Here is a 23,982-nt window from a genome sequence, read left to right as displayed (position 1 = left end):
CGCTGGTTCCAGAAAATTCCAGAAAAATAGACTGCCCATGATTCCACAGCTGTCTAGTAGATGTTCCCCACACAGACCAGCCTTGTTCAGGTTCTCCTGGGCCAACAGTGTCCTCCCTTTTGCCCTCTGCCCTCTCAAATCTTTCAAGGTGAAGCTCATGTTCATCTTCTCAGAGAAGCTCTGCCTATTCACTCTAGAGCTAGAGCTTGGTCTCTGAACTCCCTCTTCAGGCCCCTATCCTTTTTTTTATCTATTCACCATTCATTCATCCATTCAACAATGAGATGCTGCAAGAATGAGAACACATGGACACAGGAAGGGGAACATCACACTCTGGGGACTGTTGTGGGGTGGGGGGAGGGGGGAGGCATAGCATTAGGAGATATACCTAATGCTAAATGACGAGTTAATGGATGCAGCACACCAGCATGGCACATGTAAACATATGTAACTAACCTGCACATTGTGCACATGTACCCTAAAACTTAAAGTATAATAATAATAAATAAAATAAAATAAAAGCCTTCAACTCCAGAAAAAAAAAAGAGTTCTTCATCGGTGCAAATACCTCCCAAGCTTGGCTTCCCAGCAGACCTGGAGTTACCTGCTTTGCAGTCATTTTGTGGATTGAGAATGTTTAATTACGTTACTGCTCTGGAATCTTCTTTTTCCTTCCCATTTCTGCTCTCCTCTCCCATTCCCATTCAAACGTTTCCTGAAAAATATTTTTTTGAGACAGAACAATTTATTCTTCCTCACATTTATTTTTAGCTTTAAGTTCAGGGGTACATGTGCAAGTTTGTTACACAGGTAAACTCACATCATGGGGGTTTGTTATATAGATTATTTCATTGCCCAGGTATTCAACCTAGTACACATTAGTTATTTTTCCTGATCCTCTCCCTCCTCCCACCCTACACAGTGTGTGTTATTCCCCACCATGTTTCCATGTGTTCTTATCATTTAGCTCTCATTTATAAGTGAAAATATGTGGTAGTTGGTTTTATGTTCCTACGTTGGTTTGCTAAGGATGATGGCCTCCAGCTCCAGCCATGTTCCTGCAAAGGACATGATCTCATTATTTTTTATGGCTGCATAATATTCCATGGTGTATATGTACCACATTTTCTTTATCCAGTCTACCATTGATGGGCATTTAGGTTGATTCCATGTCTTTGCTATTGTAAATTGAAATTCAGGAAATCTTTTAACAAGTTAAAAATAGGAGCTAGAGACCAAAGGATAAATCTAATACAGGACCATGATTTTATCTTTTATTGTTGTATGATTTAGATCAGTCAGTCTCTCCACTCTACTTTCACTATCAAGTGAGAGAAACTTATCACCAAGAACTAAATATCAATGAAAACTAACTCATCAGTCTCCTTCAGTACAGCTGCAATAGCTGTTAAAATATTTCAATATGTCCCTAATGGTTGGTTTTAAAGAATGGTTAATGAAGCTAGACATGGTGGCCCTCATCTATCATCCCAGCCACTTGGTAGGCTGAAGTAGAAGGACTGCTTGAGGCCAGAAGTTTAAGACTAACCTAGGTAACATAGTGAGACTCCATCTCTTAAAAAGAGAGAGAGAGAGTTCTATGACTCTCCTCTCCCAAACATAGTCCTAGAGCCACCCACACTTCCCATGATCCAGCAACTGAAGGGTGAGCACCTGGACCAGCCTTAGAAACTTGCTTCAACAAAAGGCCACATCCTTTCTGACTGGTCAAAGCCTAGACATAAGTAACGGCTACAAAAAATCAGGAAAGTAAGTCGAAGAGGGAGATGCAGCTCTGAGTGGAAGTGCAGCTCCTAAAAGCTCAGCAATGTAGTTGCTAAGTTGTTAAACTGCAGTGAAATCCGGGGTCATAAAGCAATTTTCACCTAGACCACAAAAGTTCTTCTCGAAACACATCACTTCTCCCATTGGGAAACATTGGACTTCTATGTCCTGTTTTGTTTGCTTCTAGCCTCTCTGCATGTCTTTTGGGGTTCTCTCAGCCTGTTCCCCACAGACCCCAAAGTGAGCCCTGGCTGTGGGCAGGCTGATCCCCACACAGACCAGTCTTGTTCAGGTTCTCCTGAGTCAAAAATGTCTTTCTTCCCTTTTCCCCTCTGCCCTCTCACATCCTTCAAGGTGAAGTTCATGTTTATCTTCCCAGAGAAACTTTGCCTTTCCACTCTAGTGCCTAGTGGTTCCTCCCTCCTTTGAGCTCCTACAGCACCTATGATTTGGATAATAGAATCTTCTGCTGCCTTTTGTTGTTTTTCTCTGATTTCATGCATATTGATCATTTATCTTCTGTTTCACTGAAAGATCAAGAACCCATTCTTACCTTCTCCTAGATCCCCAGAGCACTGGCATAAAGCAGGCAACTTAGAAATGGTGTGGTACCTGCTTGTCCATGGAAATCATGCTCACATCTAGCTTGGTTGGTCTGCAAAGGTCTCTGTCTGAAATTCTTCCACAGGTCTATTTGGGATCCATTTTAGAAGACATGGTGGGCATTTTTGACATCTGACAGCAAACTCATGAACGTAGCTAACATCATTCTAACCCCACAAACTGCGAGAAGATCCTAAAACCTGCTTTAAAACCAGACATTGATCAACAGTTACAGAAACCACCAGCCTTGTTGATTACCTTTGCCTAAAGTAAAATAAATATGTGCATAAACTCATTGACCATGAAATTGATCGGGGGGGTGGGGTGGAGGGGGGCGGGTGCAGGGGGCAGTGGGGAGGAAAACTAACACCTGCCTTTACTGTTTCTAACAAAAGAATTAGCACCTCATTCCCACCTTCCCTCCAGAAAAGGGGAGGGAGAAATGGATTGGGACTGGGGGAGGCTGATTTCCCTTCTTCATCTTTTTTTTAATCTGTAGAGTTTTAAAAGAGAAAAATCTCCTCTGCAGACAAGAAAATGAGACCAAAGACTATGTCTGTGCGTCTTATCTTTGGAAAAGGCTTATGTTTACTCTCAATAAACTTGACTGCTTCTGAGACAATGAAAAGAATGATTGCTTAGATTATGTTTGATGATCTCAAAATGTCAAACAATAATAAGGGTCAACCTTTAGGAGAGAAAATTATAAAATGAAAGGCAGGGGAGAGCAGGACAGCTGGAGGTATATGCAGTCACATTCCAAGTGTCCCTTTATAAATGGAGAAAGTCACATGGAGAGGGGTCCTCCCACTTTGGTGAGCTACATCAGAGTCATCTGAGGAGGCTGTGAACAGACAGACATCTAGCCCCCACCCCAGGAATTCCAACTCAACAGGTCCGAGTAACAAAGTGTCTAGAGCATCACTCTTTGAGAAATCCCTTGCTAGAAGAAGGAAAAATAAAAAGATAGGAAGCTTAGTGTTCCAGAGAGTAGGTTAGATTAGGAGACTCTGAATTAGCCAGAAAATTTAGGAATCCAAGTTACCCGCAGAGAGGTATTAACAAGACAATTCACATATTCCCATATGTATAGGGCTGGTTTGCAGCTTGCATGCACCTGCAGGGCCATACCAGTGATCTGTACCTAGTATCTGTGCTGATTGGCCTGGGCCTGTGCTATCCCAGTTGCCAAACTTTATGCATGTCACCATTGCAAGGACATGGTAAAAGCAGCTGAACACCAACCATGGTAATTCTTAAAAATATTTAAGGGACCTTATTTGTAAAACTGACAAGTACACAAATATGCAGAGCAGATGAACATTTAAATGTTCAAAGGAGGTTTTGTTTCTTGTTATTCTTGCTTGAACTGAAATATTTGGTGATTTATGGAAGTAAAACAAATCTGCATATGTGACAGACAATGTTTCTGCCTAAAAAGCAGGAGTATGGCCGGGCGTGGTAGCTCATCCTGTAATCACAGCACTTTGGGAAGCCAAGATGGGCGGATCACCTGAGGTCAGGAGTTCGAGACCAGCCTGGCCAACATGGCCAAACCCCATCTCTACTAAAAATACAAAAATTAGCCAGGCATGATGGCAGGTGCCTGTAGTCCCAGCTACTCCAGAGGCTGAGGCATGAGAATTGCCTGAACCCGGGAGATGGAGGTTGCAGTGAGCCAAGATTGCACCACTGCACTCTGGCCTGGGTGACAGAGCAAGACTCTGTCTCAAAAAAAAAAATTAATTAATTAAAAAAAATAAATGAAAAGCAGGAGTGAATCCACTGGCTTATTGCTGCTTCCCTCAGTTCTCCATGTTTGAAGTGAATTCAGCTATAGTGTCAAGGGTGCCTCATGCACTCAAGAATCAGAAATTGCCCTGTGATTTGCCCACCACCTGGACCCTCATCAAAGTGAAGTGGCTGTCCTAGTGACTGTCCTCCTTCTCATCCTCTTGACTGATTTCCTCTCACCCTGCCCTTCTGCTTCTACTTTGATCTGACCCCCTCCCGCTTAGTCACAACGCATCTGTTTATCTAAACATTATTGAGCTTTGGAGAAATTACACTACAGAAGCCAAATAGATAAATAAACTCTGATCTTAGACCTCAACTAGATCAAGTTTATTAGTCCCATAGGATGTTTATCTTGGAGAAGTGCAACTTCAGATCTGGATTCATTATTTGTGGAGGCTGCCAGATCCATCCATGGTACGATCTATGTGGGAAAAGGGCAAATGAGGACTGTGCTAATCCCAGCATTCAGGTTTAAGAGGCTCCCTAAAGAGCATCTCTCTTACTGGCCTGGGTTCTGAGACAATTGAGAAATGAAAGTAAAACCTCTCTTTAATGAGAGGCTAAATTATCATCTTTATTACTGATAAATATTATAGTAGAGAATGTGGCGGCTAAGATGATGGAACAAATAGGCTTCCTCGTCTTGGATCCCAAAATTTTCCATATTTTACCAGGCAATCACAAGAAGATGCTATCCTTGTTTTAGCACTGAAAGCCCCACATCCCAAGAAACCCCTAAGTCCTGAGCAAACCTGGATGATGGGTCACCCCAGCTAGACCAGCGTAGACCGCCTCCAACACCATGGGGAGAAGAACAGATAACACTTCCTACAGGCAGCTCCCTCTCAAGAGAAAGGAACCAGAAAGGCCTCGGCTATGGAGCCCAATTTCTCCTTCCAAGCTCACCAATCAAATAAGGACAAGAGCATCAAGCTGGTGGATCCCCACCTCATGAAAGGAAACATTTAAAGTTGGGGGAAACATTCCTTTTCATCACCAAATTCGATCAATGTAACCAATACAAATAAACCCTTGACAATCCAATAGGAATTCATTGAAAGTGTGACTATAGACTAATTTGAAAAGATAGATAATTTTAACCCACCAGGCCAACATAGTGAAACCCTGTCCCTACTAAAAATACAAAAATTAGCCAGGCATGGTGGCGCGCACCTGTAATCCCAGCTACCTAGGAAGCTGAAGTGGGAGAATCATTTCAACACGGGTGGCAGAGGTTGAAGTGAGCCAAGATCTCACCACTGCATTCCAGCCTGGGCTACAGAGTGAGACCCTGTTTCAAAAAAAAAAAGAAAAGAAAAGATATATAATTTTATGGGTTTCATATAATAACTCAAACTAAGCTTTATAAGTATTATTTAGTAATAGTTTCATTGTTTAATAAAGTATGCATGGTATAATGGGGGTTTGTGGTTGGATTAGGCCAAGTGATCAATTCTTGCCATTGATTTGCGAGCATAAGCATTATGTGTCATTTCCTGTGCAAATGTTTAATTTCCAGTGTGTGGCCATTCAGTGCACTCTTTTCACCCTACTGTGGTAACCAGAAAAGTTCCAGATCGTGATTACTCTGAGTAAAGGTGATAATGACATGGCTACAGGGTCTCCAATCAATCTGCAAAGGACATGTAACACAAGTGAGAAATAAGCAACTGTACTCCTGCACAATCAAAACTTGGAGATGAGTATTACCACATAACAACCAAGTCTATCATGACTGATACCATGGGTCATAGCAACTACCTAAAACATGAATAGAAAAAAGATTGAAAGGAAATATTAACAGTAATTGCCTCTCTGAGATAGGATTTTAAGGTCTTTAATTTCTGCTCCTTGATACTTTTTTGTCCTCCTAGGTTTGTTTTATTGAGATTGTTTTAAATGTCCCCACTAAAAAAAATAAATAAATAAACAAAAACAGATACTTTAGACGACCTGCTTTGAAAATATAAAGAGGAATACTTTAAAAGTATTGTATCAGTTGTTTACGTGCAAATCATGTGTCATGATACTAGTTTAATCTCAGTTCTAAAATATTTTCACATAAATTCAGTTAAAAATTCTGCTCTGTGTAGTGTATATGAAGAAATACTTTCCGCAAAATTTCCTAACTAAGATGTCTATAAAATTCTTTGGTTTCTAAGGAACGCTAAAACTATTTAACTAACAAAGCACAAGATCCAAAGAACTTCCAACAATTCTCCACCTGAAAAGGAACTCAAAAATGTTTTACTTTTCAAGAGTCACCATGAAATCTACATTTCAGAAGAATAAAATGACACGAAGTGCATGCTTCTTATCATTACAGACATTCTATCCACTGTTCTCTTATTCTTTCTCTTCTGTGATATTTACAGGGAGAGAGAGGAGGAGAAAGAGAGGTCGTTCCGAAAAGCAGAAGCTACCATTATTGGGCTACTCTATCAATTAACAGTATACTGTGGGAGCAGACCGTTCAAAATGTGGCTATAGTCAATACAAAGTCCTTAACAAGAATTAATACAAATATCTCAACAAGGCCACATAGTAAGAGGTAAATTGCTGGAGATCTTTTATAACTGAACATTGTACACTTTTTCTTTTTCCAACTCAAGGAGAATATTGAGCCTTCAATGCTCCTTGGCAATTCCTTTATATAATTCTCAATCAGTGCTTTCTCTCAGATTCTCTGCAGTGGTTCTTTCAAACCCAATCCATCCACTCAATCCTTGGATTCAACCACTCCTTCCTAAAAGTTGACCTGACCCCCAGGAAGATTTATGAGTTGTTGGCCTTCCTGGTATGTAGTTCCCTTTCTAGTTTACAGAGAGTAAATTCAGACAAATAATTTAAGGAGCTCATTGTTACCTGACACATTAAAAAGTAAGTATCCATGCGATGGGGTGCGGGAGGGAGAGGTGGTACTCCTGGAACATACAGTACCTACTAGTTAATGGATTGCCAATTTATGGTGACTTTGCTTGAGTGGGAAGGCTTGCTGGTGCAAGGCACGGAAGAGGAGTTGAAGGGTGATGTGTTGCTGGAGTAGTTGTTTCTTTCCTGACCTGAAAGCCAACCACTTACTAGACAGAGAGACACTGAAATTGCTCTCTATAAAATTATAAAGGTAGGATTTGAATTGCATCTAAAATAAACTGGGTTGTAACTCATATAGCATTTTCATAATGAGCCACACATCACAGTTTACTTTTTTAAAAATCACTTGTTGCAGTTCTAAGAAGGGCATGGAGTATACCTTCAAGGACTTTTCAAAAAAGAAAAATTGGTTTCATCATGGAAGAACAAGTCATCTTAAAGGGATATGAAGTTATCCAATAAACTCGCCTTTTTAGAGTGCTTAATAACAGTCATTTAAAATAAAAGAATATCAAATTTTTTCTTTAAAAATTGTCACAAGCATGTGACAGGTACAAAGCTCCACTGAAAATACGGCTTATGAGAACGTTACCCAGCCAAAGCCAGCTTTGGCCCTGTCGGATGGGATGAGGAGCAGTTGGCACTAAAGCAACGAGCTATCCTGCCACAAGCCCAGGTTCACAGGCATTTTCCAGGAGATCATCAGTTAGTGGAAGGCACAGACAAAGGCTCAGATATTGAGGTTAACTTCCAGTTTCTGAGCCTGGCATTTGATCCCCAAAACTCACAGGTATGACCTGTATAAACCAGGGACAAAATGTTACATAGTGAAGGCCTTCTATTTTGTTACTTCCATCAATATGAGTCTCACCTTCTGTGATGGTTAAGTTTATGTTTCAACTTGAATGGGCCATGGAATGCCCAGATATCTGGTTAAACATTATTTCTGGGGATGCTGGAGAGGGTGTTTCTGGACACAGTTCGCATTTGAATGAATGGACTGAGTAACGCAGATGGTCCTCCCCAGTGTGGGTTGCATCAGCGACCTACTGAGGGCCTGAGTAAACAAACAAGTGGAGGAAGGTGGAATCCTCTCTCTCTCTCTCTGCCTGACTGCTGGAGCAGAGACATCAATCTTCTGCCTTTCAACTGGGATTTATGCCATTGGCGCTCCTGGTTCTCAGGCCTTTGGTTTTTTTTTTTTTTTTTTTTTGGCCTTCGGTCTTACATCATCATTCCCCAGTTCTCAGCACTTCACACTTGGACTAGGATTAAAACACACTATTGGCCGGGCACAGTGGGTCACACCTGTAATTCCAGCACTTTGGGAGGCCGAGGCGGGCGGATCACAAAGTCAAGAGATCAAGACCATCCTGGCTAACATGGTGAAACCCTGTCTCTACTAAAAATACAAAAAAAAATTAGCCAGGTGTGGTGGCGGGCACCTGTAGTCCCAGCTACTCGGGAGGTTGAGGCAGGAGAATGTCGTGAACCTGGGAGGCGGAGCTTGCAGTGAGCTGAGATTGTGCCACTGCACTCTAGCCTGGGCGACAGAGTGAGACACTGTCTCAAAAAAAAAAAAAAAAAAAAAAAAAAAGACTCACACTATCAGTTCTGCTGATTCTCAGGCATCACACTCAGACTATAACTATACCACTGGCTTTCCTGTCTCCAGCTCACAGACGTCAGATCATGGGACTTCTCGGCCTGCATACCATGTGGGCCAGTTCCATAGACAGACAGACAGAGAGATAGACAGACAAACGGTAATGAAGATAGGCAGATAGATGATACATGATAATGAATATGATAAATAGATGATAGGCATGACGATGATGATAGACAAACAGACAGAAAGATCTCCTGTTGGTTCTGTTTCTCTGGAGAACCCTGAGTAATACCTTTTCCCAAAGTAGAATCAAAAACAATATACTTCCCAGACTCCCTTGCTGCAGTTACAGGCAAATGACCCATCAGATCCACATAACTTGGACGCAGAAGGGAATTATATGAGGCAGTAACTGAATGCAGGCAGATGGATTTGGGGGATGTATAGTGGTAGAGGTGTCTGGTTCTCCCCAGACAGCTAGGATGGAGCTTCTGGATCCAGTACCAGACACAATTACAGTTGGGGAAGGTGGCAGCAGTGGTATTGTTGCCAGAACAACTCCATTATGTGGCTCGGAGTGTCTCCTAACTACCTCGTTCCTGGATGGGCTGCTCACTCTCAGTTGGGCAGCATCCATTCTGGTGATCTGGCCCTCCCAGGGATTTTATAAGGTATGCAACATTCTTTTTTTTAGAAACAAGGTCTTAGTCTGAGGCTGAAATGCAGTGATGCAATCATGGTTCATTGCAACCTTAACCTCCTGGGCTCAAGAAATCCTCCCACCTCTGCCTCCTGAGTAGCTGGGACTGCAGGTGCCTGCCACCATCCCTGGCTAATTTTTGACACTTTTTATACTTTTTTCTGTAGAAACAAAGTCTCACTATGTTGCACAGGCTGGTCTTGAACTCCTGAGCTCAAGTGACCTTCCTGCCTCAGCCTCCCAAAGTGCTGGGATTATAGGCGTGCGCCACCATGCCCAGCCTGCAACATTCTTCAATAAATCTCTTTTGGCCTAAATTAGCTAGGGTAGATTCTGTTATTTGCAAGAAAGAACCTTGACTGACAGAAATGACAGCTAACAGGTCAAGGATGGAGCCAGTAAATATGGAGAATAATAATATCCAGGAGTGGCAATTATCATTTCAGGAGCACACAGAAGGCTCCATTTTCCCTCAGCACCACCCCTAAGCATCTGCTCTTGGTGCTTGAAGAGTGCTCTCAACTGAAAAAAACCTCTATTTCTATGATCAAGTATAAGGATTAGGAGGCAGATATTTTTGGTAGAAATGGCACACAGGCTTAATCTCACAACATGTTTTTTAAAGTCATTTGATTTTTTTTCTCTAGAGCAGGTTTTAAGATGAGGTGGTGAGGAAAAGCATGAAGTAACTGGATGAAGGATGAGCAGAAAAGAAGCAAGGGAGAAGGCAGAAGCAAGCACCAGAGATTTCATCTGCTTCTCAATTTTTCCTAAAACGTGGAGGGAAATACTGAAAATAAACATGCCAAAATATTAGGACCGTCGTCCCTCTTTATCTGAAGGTATTGGTTTCAGGACCTCCCTTGGATACTAAAATCCACCCATGCTCAAGTTCCTGATCTAAAATGACACAGTAATTGCATAAAATCTATGCACATCCTCTCCTATACTGTAATTCATCTCTAGATTTCTTATAACACGTAATACAATGTAAATGCTAAATACTTGTTATACTGTATTGTGATCATTGTTATACTGCATTGTTTATTTGTATCGTTTTTTACAAATAGCAGTTATATTGTGTTGTTTTTATTTGTATTATTTTTATTGTTGTATTGTCGTCATTTATTGGGATTTTTAAAAATATTTTCCATCCACAGTTGGTTCAATCTGCAGATGCAGAACCCACAGATACAGAGGGCTGGCTGTAGTTGTTACCATTATGTAGGATTATGAACAATACATTTCCTACACATTTATATTTTTCTTTACTTCCCAAATATTTTATAATCCACATGTATTTTATAACTGAATTTTAAAGTATTTTTAATAATAGATTGCTCTAAGTCTCATTGCACTCAAAGCAATTGGTTACCTATTTAGACCCAGAAGAGAACTTTGGAGTCATCTAGCCTAATTTCCCACAGACAGAAGTGCCCCCAACATGCCAGACCTCCAGGATCCTGGCTGAAGAGACCCTGACCCTCACAGACCCTTCTTCACCCAGAGTTCCCTGACATACAGAGGACAAGCCCCTGCTTCCTCTCCTCACGACTCTGCCTCAGATGTTTGAAAATAACTTTCATATGAAGGTCCTGAGACCTCTCCAAGTTAAATATCCTTGTTTTTTTTAAGTAATTTCTCAAATGGCTTCTCACAACTCTAGTTATACTGAGATTTACAAATGTCCTTCTTAAAATATGGCACCCATAAATGGAACAAGATATTCACGTCGCCATCAGACCAGGACAGCGGATACTGCCCTTGACATAACATTGACCATCAAATATATTTTTCTTTCCTTTTCTTTTCCTTCCTTTTATTTTCTTTCATTTCCTTTTCTTGTTCCCTTCCCTCCCTACCCTTTCCTCCTCTCCCCTCCCTGTCTCCCCCTTCTTCTTCCCCTTCTCTCTCTGTCTCTCTCCCTCCCTGTCTGTCTTTATATATTCCTATCTCTATCTCCCTATGGCAAAATGTTGCCTTTAATGGATGCAGACTTTCTCATAGAAGCATCTTATATTCCTATGATGATTTCATAAAATGTTAAACAGAAAAAGAGATGTGTATAGAGAAATGCACTGAGCCCAACATACTGTGAAGGAGGCATAGGAGCGAGTTCATGTTCCCATCCCAAACCCTGGGCCTTCTTCCTATTTGCAGAGGCCTCCTTCCCTCCTTATGTACTGTAGCTGCTCAAGCCTCCCCTCACTGTGGAATAAACTCAGGCTCATGTCTGTAAAACACTTATCCTCCCTTCTCAACATACACATCTGGCCTAGCCAAGAGGCATAATCTTGGTATTTGCCTTTATTTTCCAAGGTGACCACTTTTATTTGATAAACCCCAATTCTTACCAATGTGCCTATGGTCAATGATAGTTTTCTATTTTTCAACAGTTTGCATTTCAACAGAGAATAATGCCTCTGCTCACAAGTCACACACATCTAGGCAAACTGTCAAAGTGAAAAAAGTAATAACTTTACAAAAGTGGGTGTCATAATCTCCATGTTATAAATGAAAAAATGTCAGACCCTTAGAATTTTGAAGATGTTACCAGAGGTTAACCCACTCATGAGTGGCAGAGCTGAGAACCCAGTGACTGTCAACTCTGTACTGCCTTGCCCTGCTCCTCTAGATCAGTCACTGGGACCCCAGGTCCTTCATTCTCTCCCTTCCCCCACTAGGAGCATCCTGTTTCTCCAAACATAGTAGCCAGGGGGCTTCACTGTCTTTCTCTCCTCTCAAATCAAAGCCTGCCCTCCAATGCTCTTTTCCTGCAAGTGTGTTAAATACTAGTAGATATTGTCTGTCCAGCAGGTTATATAAAAGAGTTATATTATTTAGCTCTTTTATATATTAAAGAGCTAAATAATATAACTCTAAAGTCCGTTTTAAATATCAAGCTGGAGCAAGGAAAAAGTCCTCTGAAATCACACCGTATATTCCTCCTTTCATTAAAACTCACTTTGCCCTATTGCCTAAAGATTAAGATTTTAGAGCAAACTTGTCAATTCCAGGAGGGCGCTCTCTCTCTCTTGTTCCCTTCCTTTGGTCCCAGCACCTAATGCATTTCCAAGCACATTGCAGGACCTCAGTAAATACTTGCTGAGTTAATTAATGAATATCAATAGCCAACCACCTTCTGAAATGTTCTACAGGCCTGATGTGTAATTCCAAAGCCCACTTGACTTACAGATACTGAGCCCCCCAGGAAGGGGAGACCTGAGCTAGGGAAAGTTTCTTGTAAGTTGAGGCTCCAGATTTATACAAAAGAAAGAAAAGTTCAAAAAACTTCTCATTAAACTTTGGAATTCATTCACATAGTCAATAAGCATCTATTAAAGCCTTCCATGAAGAGGCACTGTGAGAGAGACTGAGTGAGCTGAGATGAATAAAACACGGCCCGTACCCTCAAGAAACCCACAGGCTACTCTGCAATACAGGCACATTAACAGATAATTGTGTCAAAATGAAGTAGGACTTCTCCTCCCCCATCCTATGGAAAGGATATTTTAAAACTATGAGAAATCTAATTAAACCTGTTACTGGGCCAGGCATGGTGGCTCATACGTGTAATCCCAACACTTTGGGAGGCTGAGAGAGAATCACTTGAGGCCAGGAGTTCGAGACCAGCCTGAACAAGATACGAAAACCCCATCGCTACGAAACATTTTTTGAAAAATTAACTAGGTGTGATGGCTCAGCCTGTTAACAACTGGCTGAGGCTTAAGGGCATTGGTAGCCACCAGGGTGGAATGGAATACTCATCACGAATGATAGGTTTTCTTGCTTTGCAATAGGCTGAGTCAATCACACCAGGAGAAGAAATAGTCTTTCCTCAAGCCTCAACTGTGTTGCCTGCCTTTATAAGGTGAGCTTGAGTTTAGTTAAAACTTGTAGAGAGATCACACTGAAATTAGAGCACCCACCTCCATCCTTATTTTGAGAATCAAAGTCCAACTCTACCCAGCCACAGGCAGCAATGAAAATTGGGACAAGTCCCATCAACATTCAGCCAATGCAAGAGGCATTCAGATATGTAAGGTGCAGGGGTTGGGGGCGTACACTTTGTATGGGGAACCGTGGAGTTTTCTGTGAAAGGTAATGGAGAAAAGGAAGAGAAAACAGATCAGAAAACAGGGAGCACCACCTGAGATGTCCACTTTTCAAAGACCTCCATTTGTAATGCCCTCCCTGGGCAGGCACAAGGGAACAAGCACATTAGATACAGATATCGTCTCCATTCAGTTCACCCTCTTTTGTTCTTTTGACATCTACACAGCCCCTCAAAAAATGACATATTCCTCCACTGTCAGAGTTGGGTCTGAAGAAGACTGGAAAAACTCTAGGAAGACATAGGAACTGCTCCTCAATCATGCTGCAGAGCCAAGGCTGGAGAGGCATCCATTTCTTACCCTTCAATCAGCACCTCTCTAAAGGCAAAGTCACCATTGATTAGCAACAGCTGCCTAGAAAAGCCCATGTCCAAAAGGCAGTAAATTCCCAGGTAATCCTTCATGCATTAAGAACAAGAATTAAAAGGCATGAAAAGTGAGGATCCCCCTACATGTGGGTTATAAAAAATATTATAATAGACACAGCAATGAAGATGTCAATAATAACTGCTATTTACTGAGTACTTAATATAGGCCCTGACACTACACGTACATTATTTAAGATCATCCTTCCACTATCCCCATAAATGAAATATCATTATCCCCAATACATAAATGGCAAAACTGCAGCTCAAAATTGGAAAATACTTTTCCCAAGGCCCCAGTGCTGCCTCTTATATCCAGGTCATGCTTCCTCTACAGTCCTTATTCTTTTCATTACATCACAGTGCTCATGTGTTGGCAGACTTTGGAGGACTCTGAGCAGAAGCTGTTTAAGGGCTCCAGGAAGGCTTCCCAGAGGAGGTTTCACCTGACCTGGGTCCTAAAGGGTGAGTATGAAATAGTCAAAGAAAGGGCAGGAAGAGGAAAGGCACCATCTTCACCAAGAGGACCATCTAAGCAGAAGAGTGATGTAAGCTGGAGCCCAGCAGGAGCTGAGAATGCTGAGGCCACCAGTGTTGTTAGAGCATAAACGTGAGACGGGCAGGCAGGAAGAAAGGGCAGAGGAGGCAGAGAGATCTGGAGAGGCTGGTTTGTGCTGGGCTTTGCATGCTGTTAGGAAGTCTGAACTTTCTCCTATAGACAGCATGGAGCTTTTGGAGGAGTTTAAGAAAGGGGAGTGATGTGATCAGATCAGCATTTTAAACACATCATCGTGGCAGATGTGTGAAGGGTAGATTGAATAGGAACAAGATTAGAGGCAGAGATAAGTCAGGAGACTGACAATAGTAAGGTGAAAAGTAATAAAGACTCAAACAGAATGTTTTTAATAGGAATGGAGATAAGAGACAAATCTAAAAATTAGAAAGAAAAGTTGGCAGGTCTTGGTGGTGATATAGATATTGCAGATAGGCGGGTGGGGGGTGGCATTCGGTGGTGCATGTGGCATTCAAATCACCAGAAACAGAGCTGGTTTAAGGAGAGAGTGAGTCCAGTGTTGGAGACATTGGGCTGAGGTGTCTGTGGGACCTTGAGTAGGATGTCTAGGAGGCAGCTGAATATACATGTCTGGGGGTCCCCATGGAGACCCGGAAGCTGCCAGCATGTAGGTCGTAATTGAGGTCATGGGTTTCGATGAGTTCTTCCAGGATGGAGGACCATGGGCTAAGGAGAGGACCCAAGAGAACACAAACAGTGAAAAGTTGGGCAGAAGGCCACATGCAGTGGCTCATGCCTGTAATCCCAACACTTTGGGAGGCCAAGGTGGATTGCTTCTTCCTAGGAGTTCAAGGCCAGACTTAACAGCATGGTGAAACCGTGTCTCTAGAAAAAATACAAAAAATCAGCCAGGTGTGGTGGCACGCACCTATAGTCCCAGCTACTTGGGAGGCTGAAGTCAGAGAATCACCTGAGCCCCAAAAGCTGAGGTGGCAGTGAGCCATGATCATGCCACTGCACTCCAGCCTGGGTGATGGGGTGAGATCCTGTCTCAAAAGAAAAAAAAAAAAAAGCTGGACAGAAGGTAGGGAGCTCCTGAAGGAAGTGTTAATAAATGGTTGGAAAGGAACTAGAAAAATCAGGAGACTAAGGAGTTCTGGAAGCCAGTGTATAACATTTTCAGAAGGTGAAAGTCATTCATAGTATTAGATTCGGAGGAAAGCTAGAGAAAACTCAGTACAAAAAAAAATCCTTCAGATATGGCTATTAGGGAGATGCTGTGACATCAAAAAAGCAGTGTCAGTCATGGTTTGCGAAGCGGTTAAGGGGGTTTCAAGGTCAAAGGAGAGTCAGGGGAACATCCGTATTATTAGGATGGGAAGGAAGTAACCATGTTTACAGACTGAGAGGAAGGAACTGCAAGGAGACAGAAAGATCAAGGATATTGGCCAAGGTAGGGAAAGAGATGGAGGGGTAGGTTAATGTATCAAAGTGATAGGAGCTGTGGTCAAAAGCACAGGCAAAGCAGCAAAGCAGGTGGCCATGGGCACGGAGCACAGGTGCACCCTGAGACGGCAGAAAACAGCAAGGAAACCAGAGCTGCAGGTACATTGGAAAAGATTCTGGGAAGATTTAAATATATTGAAGAAAATCATGCCCTTTGGTTTCCATTTTTCTTGACAAAGTAGAAAGCAAGCCTTCAGGCCTTTGTAGTGATGTTAATCCACAGAGTTGTGTGGTTATCTCCAGCAGGAGTCAGGAAACGGAATGATGGTTTGTGGGGAGACAAAATTCAACGTTGGCTTATTTGGGGATTTTGCAGCCAAGCAAAGTTGTGAGAAAGCCTAGAAGATGCATCTAGTGGCAGACAAAGAGTAACTTTAAGAAGCTCAATCTGGGGCAGTTCTGAGAGTCCCACTCAAGATACTGTCCTACAACTCCCAATGTGATTTTAGTCCTGGAGAAAGACAAGATTCTTAGAAGCACCTTGCACTCAAATAAGTTGAGCTTCATCATGCTAAGCAGACCCTGCTAGTTTTGGGTTGTCCTATAAAGAAGTATTAAATTGGGACAATTGGTAGGACTCCAGCTAGTTCAATGGCACAGGCATCTCCATGTTCCCTGGCACCTGTGGGGCTTATTTGCTTGTTTTGCATTTTGGGTGCTCCTAGGGGCTAGATTAGTCCATGTACCACGCCTTACCCTTCTCCCTACTGCTTTTGTAGCTTTATTTCTCTTCCAATAAAAGAAAATGTTTCAGCCTCAAAGCTTTTAAAACCAGTTAATTCCAGGGCTCTCAAAACCAGTTAATTCCAGGGCTCTCACCCTCTCCTCTTTGACCTTGGCCCATGCTCCTCTGCCTCCCTGCTGACTCAAAACCCCATGTATGCTACTGAAAGAGACTCTCTCCATCAGCTTGCCTTGACTAAAGCTCACCCTTCCCCAGCATCACTGCTTTCCTTTGTAGCTCTCTAGAACGGGGACTGCATGCATTCCTGTGCCCCATATACTAGAGCTGGAATATTCTCCCAGATCTTCATAGTCACATTGAAAGTCCCTCCCTATTGGCCCCCATGCTGTCTGGCTCTACCACTCACTGACTCTTCTCACAGTATTCATGTCCTGACCTCCCAGTAAATCCCATTATGGTCATCAAACTTCGGCAACTGAATCACTAGCTTCTTCCTCACCTTAAGCACTGCTGGCATCCTGTGGACAACGCTTCCAGCACCCTGGTTTCATTGTCCCAAGGTCAACTGCTCCACTAGCAAAATATTAGCCTCTTGGACCCTGGAGCCCACCTCCAGTGAAAACATCCCATCCTTGCAGCTTCCTCCCTCTTTTTTCCTACCCTACTCTCCAGCTTCATGGAGCACCCAGGCCCTTGAAGCCTTTCCTCCAAAGCTCTTCACCCTCCTCTGCTTCATCTCCACCCTTGTCCAGGCCAGACCCTAAGTGGAAGAATGTCAACCACTTCTCCCCATCACTCTCAACTCCCTTGTCCTGCCCTGAGCTACGCTGGTCCCTCAAGCTCCCAGGATCCCAACTATCCATGTTCCCCAGGATTACAGGACTTACTAAAGAAACATTACAGCTGGGGAGATTCGACATTCCCAATATATAGATTCCATTCTCAGCCAAACCCTCAGGTCTGCCAAGATATCCTGTTATATACCTGAGTCAGCTCTCTTTCCCCAGTCTCTGCAGTAATGATTCCAACTTTAATACTCTTTTCAAACCCTCTCCATAACAACATCTCCACTCTGAATAAGGTACTTGCCTCTTATTTCACCAAAAACAGGATGCCTCAGGCAAGATCTCCCTCGGCTTCCTAAGTGTTTCTGTACCTACCGCTTCTTCTCCAAACAGTGTTCTAAAGTTCATTCTTCCATCCACTTTTGCTTTAGAGACCATCCCTGAAACATTAATTCTCCCTCTTTTTCTGTATCTTCTATCTCTATCTTCCCTCAGATTTTAGCTTACAATTGCATTTAAGCCCCTCTCAACTTTAAAAAAAGAAAATAGTTACTGTGACTCAAGATCCCACTTCTAGATGGTGCTCTGCATAGCCAAGCTGTGCAAGAAATACTTTTCATTCATTTTTTAAATCAAAGGAATGCATAAGCATAGCTTTTGAAGTTAAATAATGCTGCAAGGCTTAACAAATTTTAAAGATATTTTTCCATAATCCTTGTTTTTCTAAATAACATATGTACATTATACTTTAACTTTTTATATTTAAATATTATATTTCCCTAGCATGGAAGATGAGGATCAAGCTCTCTCTACCAACTGCTCACCATCTCCCATCAGACATACAAACATCCCTTTCCCCCTTCCTTCATCCTCCCCATATTGTTATACCATAATTAGTGGTTAAATTATCAATCAATATTCACATGGATATGTCTATATATATATATATATCATACATTTAGTGTACTATGTTTTTCCTTGTACACATTTTGTTTTTACATATTTTTTCCTAATCTTTCTTTCCCTGTTCAGTCCCACACTTTCCAAAAGAACAGTAAAACTCTTCTCAATACAGTAAAACACACGAGGGAATCCACCGCTTAATATTTGTGTCTCCTATAATCCCTCCATCATCAGTTCCATATGGAAGGATTACTGCCTAGGCTGACTGTCCAGCTGTCATACTGAGGTTTTCCTTTGCTACCATCTGTTAATTTTTTCTTTGCTTCTCCCAGTTTTAGAGACCCCGATTCCTAGATTCTAAGTCTTTCTATTTCTTGGTTTATATCCTTGTTTCGGTGGATTGCATCCTACAGTAGCTTTCTGAAAACAAGTGCAGGGAAAGAACATCTTTTGAGATCTTGCAAGTCTACTCTCACTCTTGAATGGTCATTTTGTTAGGACTAGGACTCTAGGTTGGAAATCATTTTCCCTCAGAATGTTGAAGGCACTGCTGCACCATTTCCAAACTGTAGAGATGTGTATGATATTCTGATTCTTGGTCCCTAGTATATAACCTGTTCCTCTCTGGTAGCTTTTACAAACTACTCTTTATCATTCGAGTCCTGATATTTCACCATGATGTACTTTATGTGTGAATTGTTTTTCATCTATTATGCTAGGCACTCACTTGCTCTTTCAGTTTGGAAACCCAGGTCTTCAGAAGACTTGAAAACTTTGTTCTCATTTATTTGATAACTAACCCCTTCTACTTTCCATTTTCTCCTTCTGGGCTCTTACTGGTCAGATGTTTGAGCTTTTGGACTGATTTTCTCATCTTTTCTACTTTCCATCACTTTATCCTTCTTTCTACTTCTGAGACATTACCTTTCCTCAGCATTATCTATTGGCCTTTAAAATTTCTACAATCTGCCAGGCATGGTGGCTCATGCCTATAATCTCAGCACTTTGGGAAGCCAAGGTGGGAGGATTGCTTGAGTCCAGGAGTTCAAGACCAGCCTGGGCAACATAGTAAAATCCTGTCCCTACAAAATTTAAAAAAATAATAATTAGTATATGTGCTGCCAAAGAGAACACAAATAATAATAATAATTAGCCAGGCATGGCAGTGCATGCCTGTAGTCCCAGCTACTCGGGAGGCTGAGGTGGGAGGATCGCTTAATCCCAGGAGGTTTAGGCTGAGGTGAACTGTGATTGTGCCACTGCACTCCAGCCTGGGCAACACAGTGAGACCCTGTTTATTAAAAAAAAATTCTACTATCATATTTATTTTTCAAAAGCCCTTTCCTGTTCTCTGAATGCTTCTTTACATAAAATCCCATTCTTATTTCATAGATATATTTCCTCTTATCATATGAATAGTATTAATCATTATATTTTGAACTTTTTTATGCCCCCTACGTTGTCTCTACTCCTTTCTTCCATTCATTTATCTGTCAGGATCTCCATGTACACTTATAATCTGCCTCAGTTTTTTGGTGATTCCTGGCTTCTCTTCATACTTAATGATTAGGCACTACATTTATAAGAAGTTCATCATGCATGGGCAGAGGCTACTGCCTCGTGAGCTTCTCCAGAGTTTAAGAAAGGATCCATCTATTCTGCTAGGCCCTGTGTTTGGGGAGGCCAATCTCCTCACCTATGGCTGCCTATGTTGAGTGGGCTCTAAAGCAGAAGAGGCCAAGGGAAACTTCCTGTTCAGCATGCAAAGTGTCACTTAGTGACCCTGCTTCCAGCACATTACCTGAGTGCCAGAATTAATCTCCAGGCATGGGGTGTGGCAGGGGGAATGGCAGGTACAGGGGAAGTTGCCTCGTTGCCTGAAGATGGGAGAGAAAATATGGGTATCTAAATGGTTCCTTATGCAAATGTTCCTGCAGCCTGCTTTTTGCCCTTTCCCAATGCCTCCACCTTCAGCGGTACCTGATGCCTCTGATTTCAAGCTTCTCAGAGTTTTCACAACAAGAATGGGTTTCTTCCTTCTTGATTTTACCCCCATGCCAACCTCACAGGCAGCTGAGTGTTAGCTTTCTCCAAAGGAGAAAGAGGGAAAGAGGGAAGGTGGTGGGCGGGGGGAAGAGAAAGGAAGGAGAGGGAAGGGAAGGAGGGAGGGAGGGAAAGTTTTCTTGAACATCTGTTATGTACCGGATTCCATCTGTCTTGGGCCCTTCACATAAAGAAACATTGTAATCCCAACAACCTTCTTAGATGGCTACTGGTATCATTACTCACATCCATCATACAGTTGAGGAAACACTGCTCAGAGATACTATTGGGTTGGTGCAAAAGTAATTGTGATTTTTACCATGAGAAGCAATGGCAAAGACCACAGTTGGTTTTGCACCAAACTAATAGGTAGCTTGCTCAAGGTCATACAACTAGCAAATGTCTGCATTCATACTCAAGAGCACTGTGACCCCCAAAACCCATGCTCCTTTCCCCTAATAGAGACATATGGCCCTGGGGACCACTGGCCGCCTCTTAAGTCACAAATTGTTGGCAACCTCTGCCTTTCTTTCATGCAAAGCCAGTTCTGCTGCTGGGGTTGGCTCTGGAGGCCCTTCCGTCTTCTGGTCCCCACAAGCTTAGCCGGCCTTCTCAGGCAGTGCATAGAGTATTTTATATTCCCCCTGGAAGAGGACCAAGGCGCTGTGTTCTCAGCTGCCTGGGCTAAGATCTGAAGCTCAGACCCAGCCACTGACGTCACTCGGCATGTCCTCCACTTCCACCGGGCCGTTTATGCTGGCACAGCCCGAGAGCAAGGCTGGCGGGAAGAGGATCAGCCCAAACAGCATTAATAAGAGGCAGCTGGTTTTTAAAAGCTTCCCTGACAATGTAAAGAAACTAAGTCAGATGTTTTTGGAAAGGGTATTTGAACGAATGTGACTAGAACCTCGTCTCTTTCTAGCGCCACTCTTCCTACTTCCTTCCCCACACACTTGCTGCAAGTTTCCTGTGGCTCCTTTCAGCACAAATGGATGATGACCCGATGGGCTAAGGTCAGACACTGGCCAGCGTGAGTTAGGGTCCCAGGACTGAGTTGCAGTTAGGGTGCAACATCAAAGCAGGTGCTCTCTCAGGATCACCCAACAAGCACTCTCGGTGCCTGGCTTACCATGCCCTGGTACCAGCCCTGTGGGGCAGAGTTGCTAAGATTTTTGGGTGGAAAAAGGGTAAGTGGACACAGAAAGTGGGCAGGGATTAGCCTCTTTGTGGATTGGCCTAAAAGCTGCACTAGTTACCGCAGTCAAGGCATGGATTATGCCGACAAATGGTAACCTTCCTTCAGGGACTAGAAGAAACTAAACTAAGATAAACTGTGCACCCATCACACACTGGGCAATGTGTTATGGTCTTTTATGTGCTTCAATTCCTATGCTTAATCAAGCCCTACTCATGCTGTCTTCTTCTCAAGCTATTCCAAATACTTCCCCTCCGCGTGACCAAGTTCTTGCCTCTTCTGTGAAGCCTTCCCTGGTCAACTCCTCCAACAGGGACCTCTGAGACCTTTCAGTATTTTCTATCTAACCAGTCCACTCTGAACCATGTGGTTTTTGTTGAGGACAATCTGTCCTTTACATTGGCCTATGATTCCTATAGAAGGCCCCATGCAGGAAATTTCTTTACAAATTCTGTGCCAGAGGAAACTCTTATCATGAAGAACTAGGATTCTCTCTCATTTCTGACAATGAGATCTCTGTAATGGACCATGTTTCCTTCTTGGCTTACCAGGAAACTCCAAGCACAGGGAAGGTTTAATTTAGGTTAGGCGTTCAGAGGTCTCTACTCTATAAGGAAATGGTTTTTTAAGCTGGGACCCAAAGGATGAAAAAGAATTATCCAGATGAATACTGGAGGGAGTATCATCCCTTTCTAAAATGGCAGCATGTGCTAAGGTCCTGAGGCAGAAAAGAACCAAATGCCCAGTGTGGCTGCAGCATGCTGAGTAAAGGAGCCAGCAGTACCAACAAGGCTCAAGAATGCATTTGAGACCCTCCAAGAAAGGGAGCTAACTCTTACAGATCCTGTGGGCCATGGAGAGAAGTCTGGATTTTAGTCCAAGTGTGTTGGAAAGCATTTGGAAAGGTTAAGTAACACATTCCATCTTACCTGGCTTTTCAGCAGCAGAGCCAGGTCTCACAACAATTCTGCCTGGTTCTGAAGCCATTCCTTATGGTACCTTTGAAAGCTTGTGAAGTTTTATGTGTAGGTCTGACATGAGCCAATTTACCTCTTAAGATGATTTCTCTAGCAGCTCTGTGGAGAACGCATTGAAGAGAGACAAAAGCAGGAAGAGAGAGATCAGTTAAGAAACTATTGCAAGTTGCCAGGTACAAGATGATGGCAACCAAGCCTGGATACATCTGTGGTCATAAAGGGAAGTGAAGAGCACCAGGGCATATTTTGGGGATGGAATCGACAGAACATTTTGGTTGCATAAAGTACCATAAGGAGGCCAGGCATGGTGGCTCATGCCTGTAATCCCAACATTTTGGGAGGCCGAGGCTGGCAGATCAGCAGAGGTCAGGAGTTCAAGACCAGCCTGGCCTACGTGGCAAAACGCCATCTCTACTAAAAATACAAAAATTAGCTGGGTGTGGTGGTACATGCCTGTAATCCCAGCTACTTGGGAAGCTAAGGCAGGAGAATCGCTTGAACCTGGGAGGCAGAGGTTGCAGTGAGCCAAGATCTTGCCACTGCATTCCAGCCTGGGTGACAATGTGAGACTCCATAAAAAAAAAGAAAAGAAAAAAAGGTACCATAAGTAATGGCTTCAGAACCAGACAGAATTGTGGTGAGACCTGGCTCTGCTGCTGAAAAGCCAGGTAAGATGGAATGTGTTACTTAACCTCTCCAAGACATAGACCCCTCAACTGCACAATGGAAATAACACCTACCTCAAAGGCCTGAATCAAGTATTAAAAAACATGATGGCCAGGCACGGTGGCTCACGCCTGTAATCCCAGCACTTTGGGAGGCAGAGACGGGCAGATCTCGAGGTCAGGAGATCGAGACCATCCTGCCAACATGGTAAAACCCTATCTCTACTACAATACAAAAAATTAGCTGGGCATAGTGGCGCATGCCTGTAGTCCCAGCTACTTGGGAGGCTGAGGAAGTGGAATCGCTTGAACCTGGGAGGCAGAGTGCAGTGAGCCCTCTCTGGGAAGAAGCTGGGAAGTAAAATTAGCTCTTTACTGAACATTTTGCAATGTCTTCTTTCTACAAAGTCCCCTCTTTCTCCCCCCCCCCGCCCGCCCCCACCCCCACCCTTCTTTCCTTTCTTTTTCCTCCTGTGCCCTCCTTTTCCTTTCCCTTCTCCTCTATAGTCATGGCCTCTGGAGATCTCCTGTCCCCAGTGTTAGGACTCAGGACCAAGAAAGCCCACCTCTGTCTATTCTCCACCCTTCTTTCCTCGGCAGCTCACAGCTGAATTCTCTAAGGTCAGTGAATTCTCTAAGGAGAAGTGAGCCTCTGAACTCGAATTCTCTCTTTCTCTGCTAGGAAGGAACCTAAGAAGTTCGATTTCACCAGCTTTCCCCACAAATTTTCTACGGGCTTAGGGCCACTGGCTATAGAATTCAGTGTCTTCAGTACACTAGACCAAAGCAGTTGCATAATGTCCGGCCAGGCTTCCAGAAGCCTCACAAAGCCAAGCTTCCAAAATAGCCCCGGTAAATGAG

General features: G+C 42.9%; 1 long non-coding RNA gene across 1 annotated transcript in view, besides 1 other annotated feature; it reads right to left on the bottom strand.

Moving 5' to 3' along the window:
- The window catches only part of LOC107986930 (uncharacterized), a 139,865-nt gene that overhangs the window by 13,735 nt on the left and 102,148 nt on the right, over window positions 1-23,982 (bottom strand). The window contains exon 4 of the long non-coding RNA XR_001745842.2: window positions 605-715. This is a non-coding gene — a long non-coding RNA (uncharacterized LOC107986930). The remainder of the gene's footprint in view (window positions 1-604; window positions 716-23,982) is intronic.
- Window positions 4,543-5,126: an enhancer, noted in NCBI's record as "H3K4me1 hESC enhancer chr8:23641595-23642178 (GRCh37/hg19 assembly coordinates)". NCBI's record gives its function as "activates a minimal SCP1, AML or CMV promoter by ChIP-STARR-seq in naive H9 embryonic stem cells {active_cell/tissue: H9 hESC(naive)}" and the evidence as "EXISTENCE:reporter gene assay evidence [ECO:0000049][PMID:30033119]".

This window comes from Homo sapiens, chromosome 8 (assembly GCF_000001405.40).
Source record: "Homo sapiens chromosome 8, GRCh38.p14 Primary Assembly".
Lineage (NCBI taxonomy): Eukaryota > Metazoa > Chordata > Mammalia > Primates > Hominidae > Homo > Homo sapiens.
Note: the sequence above shows the minus strand (reverse complement) of the source record. Positions and strands in the feature narration are given on the sequence as shown.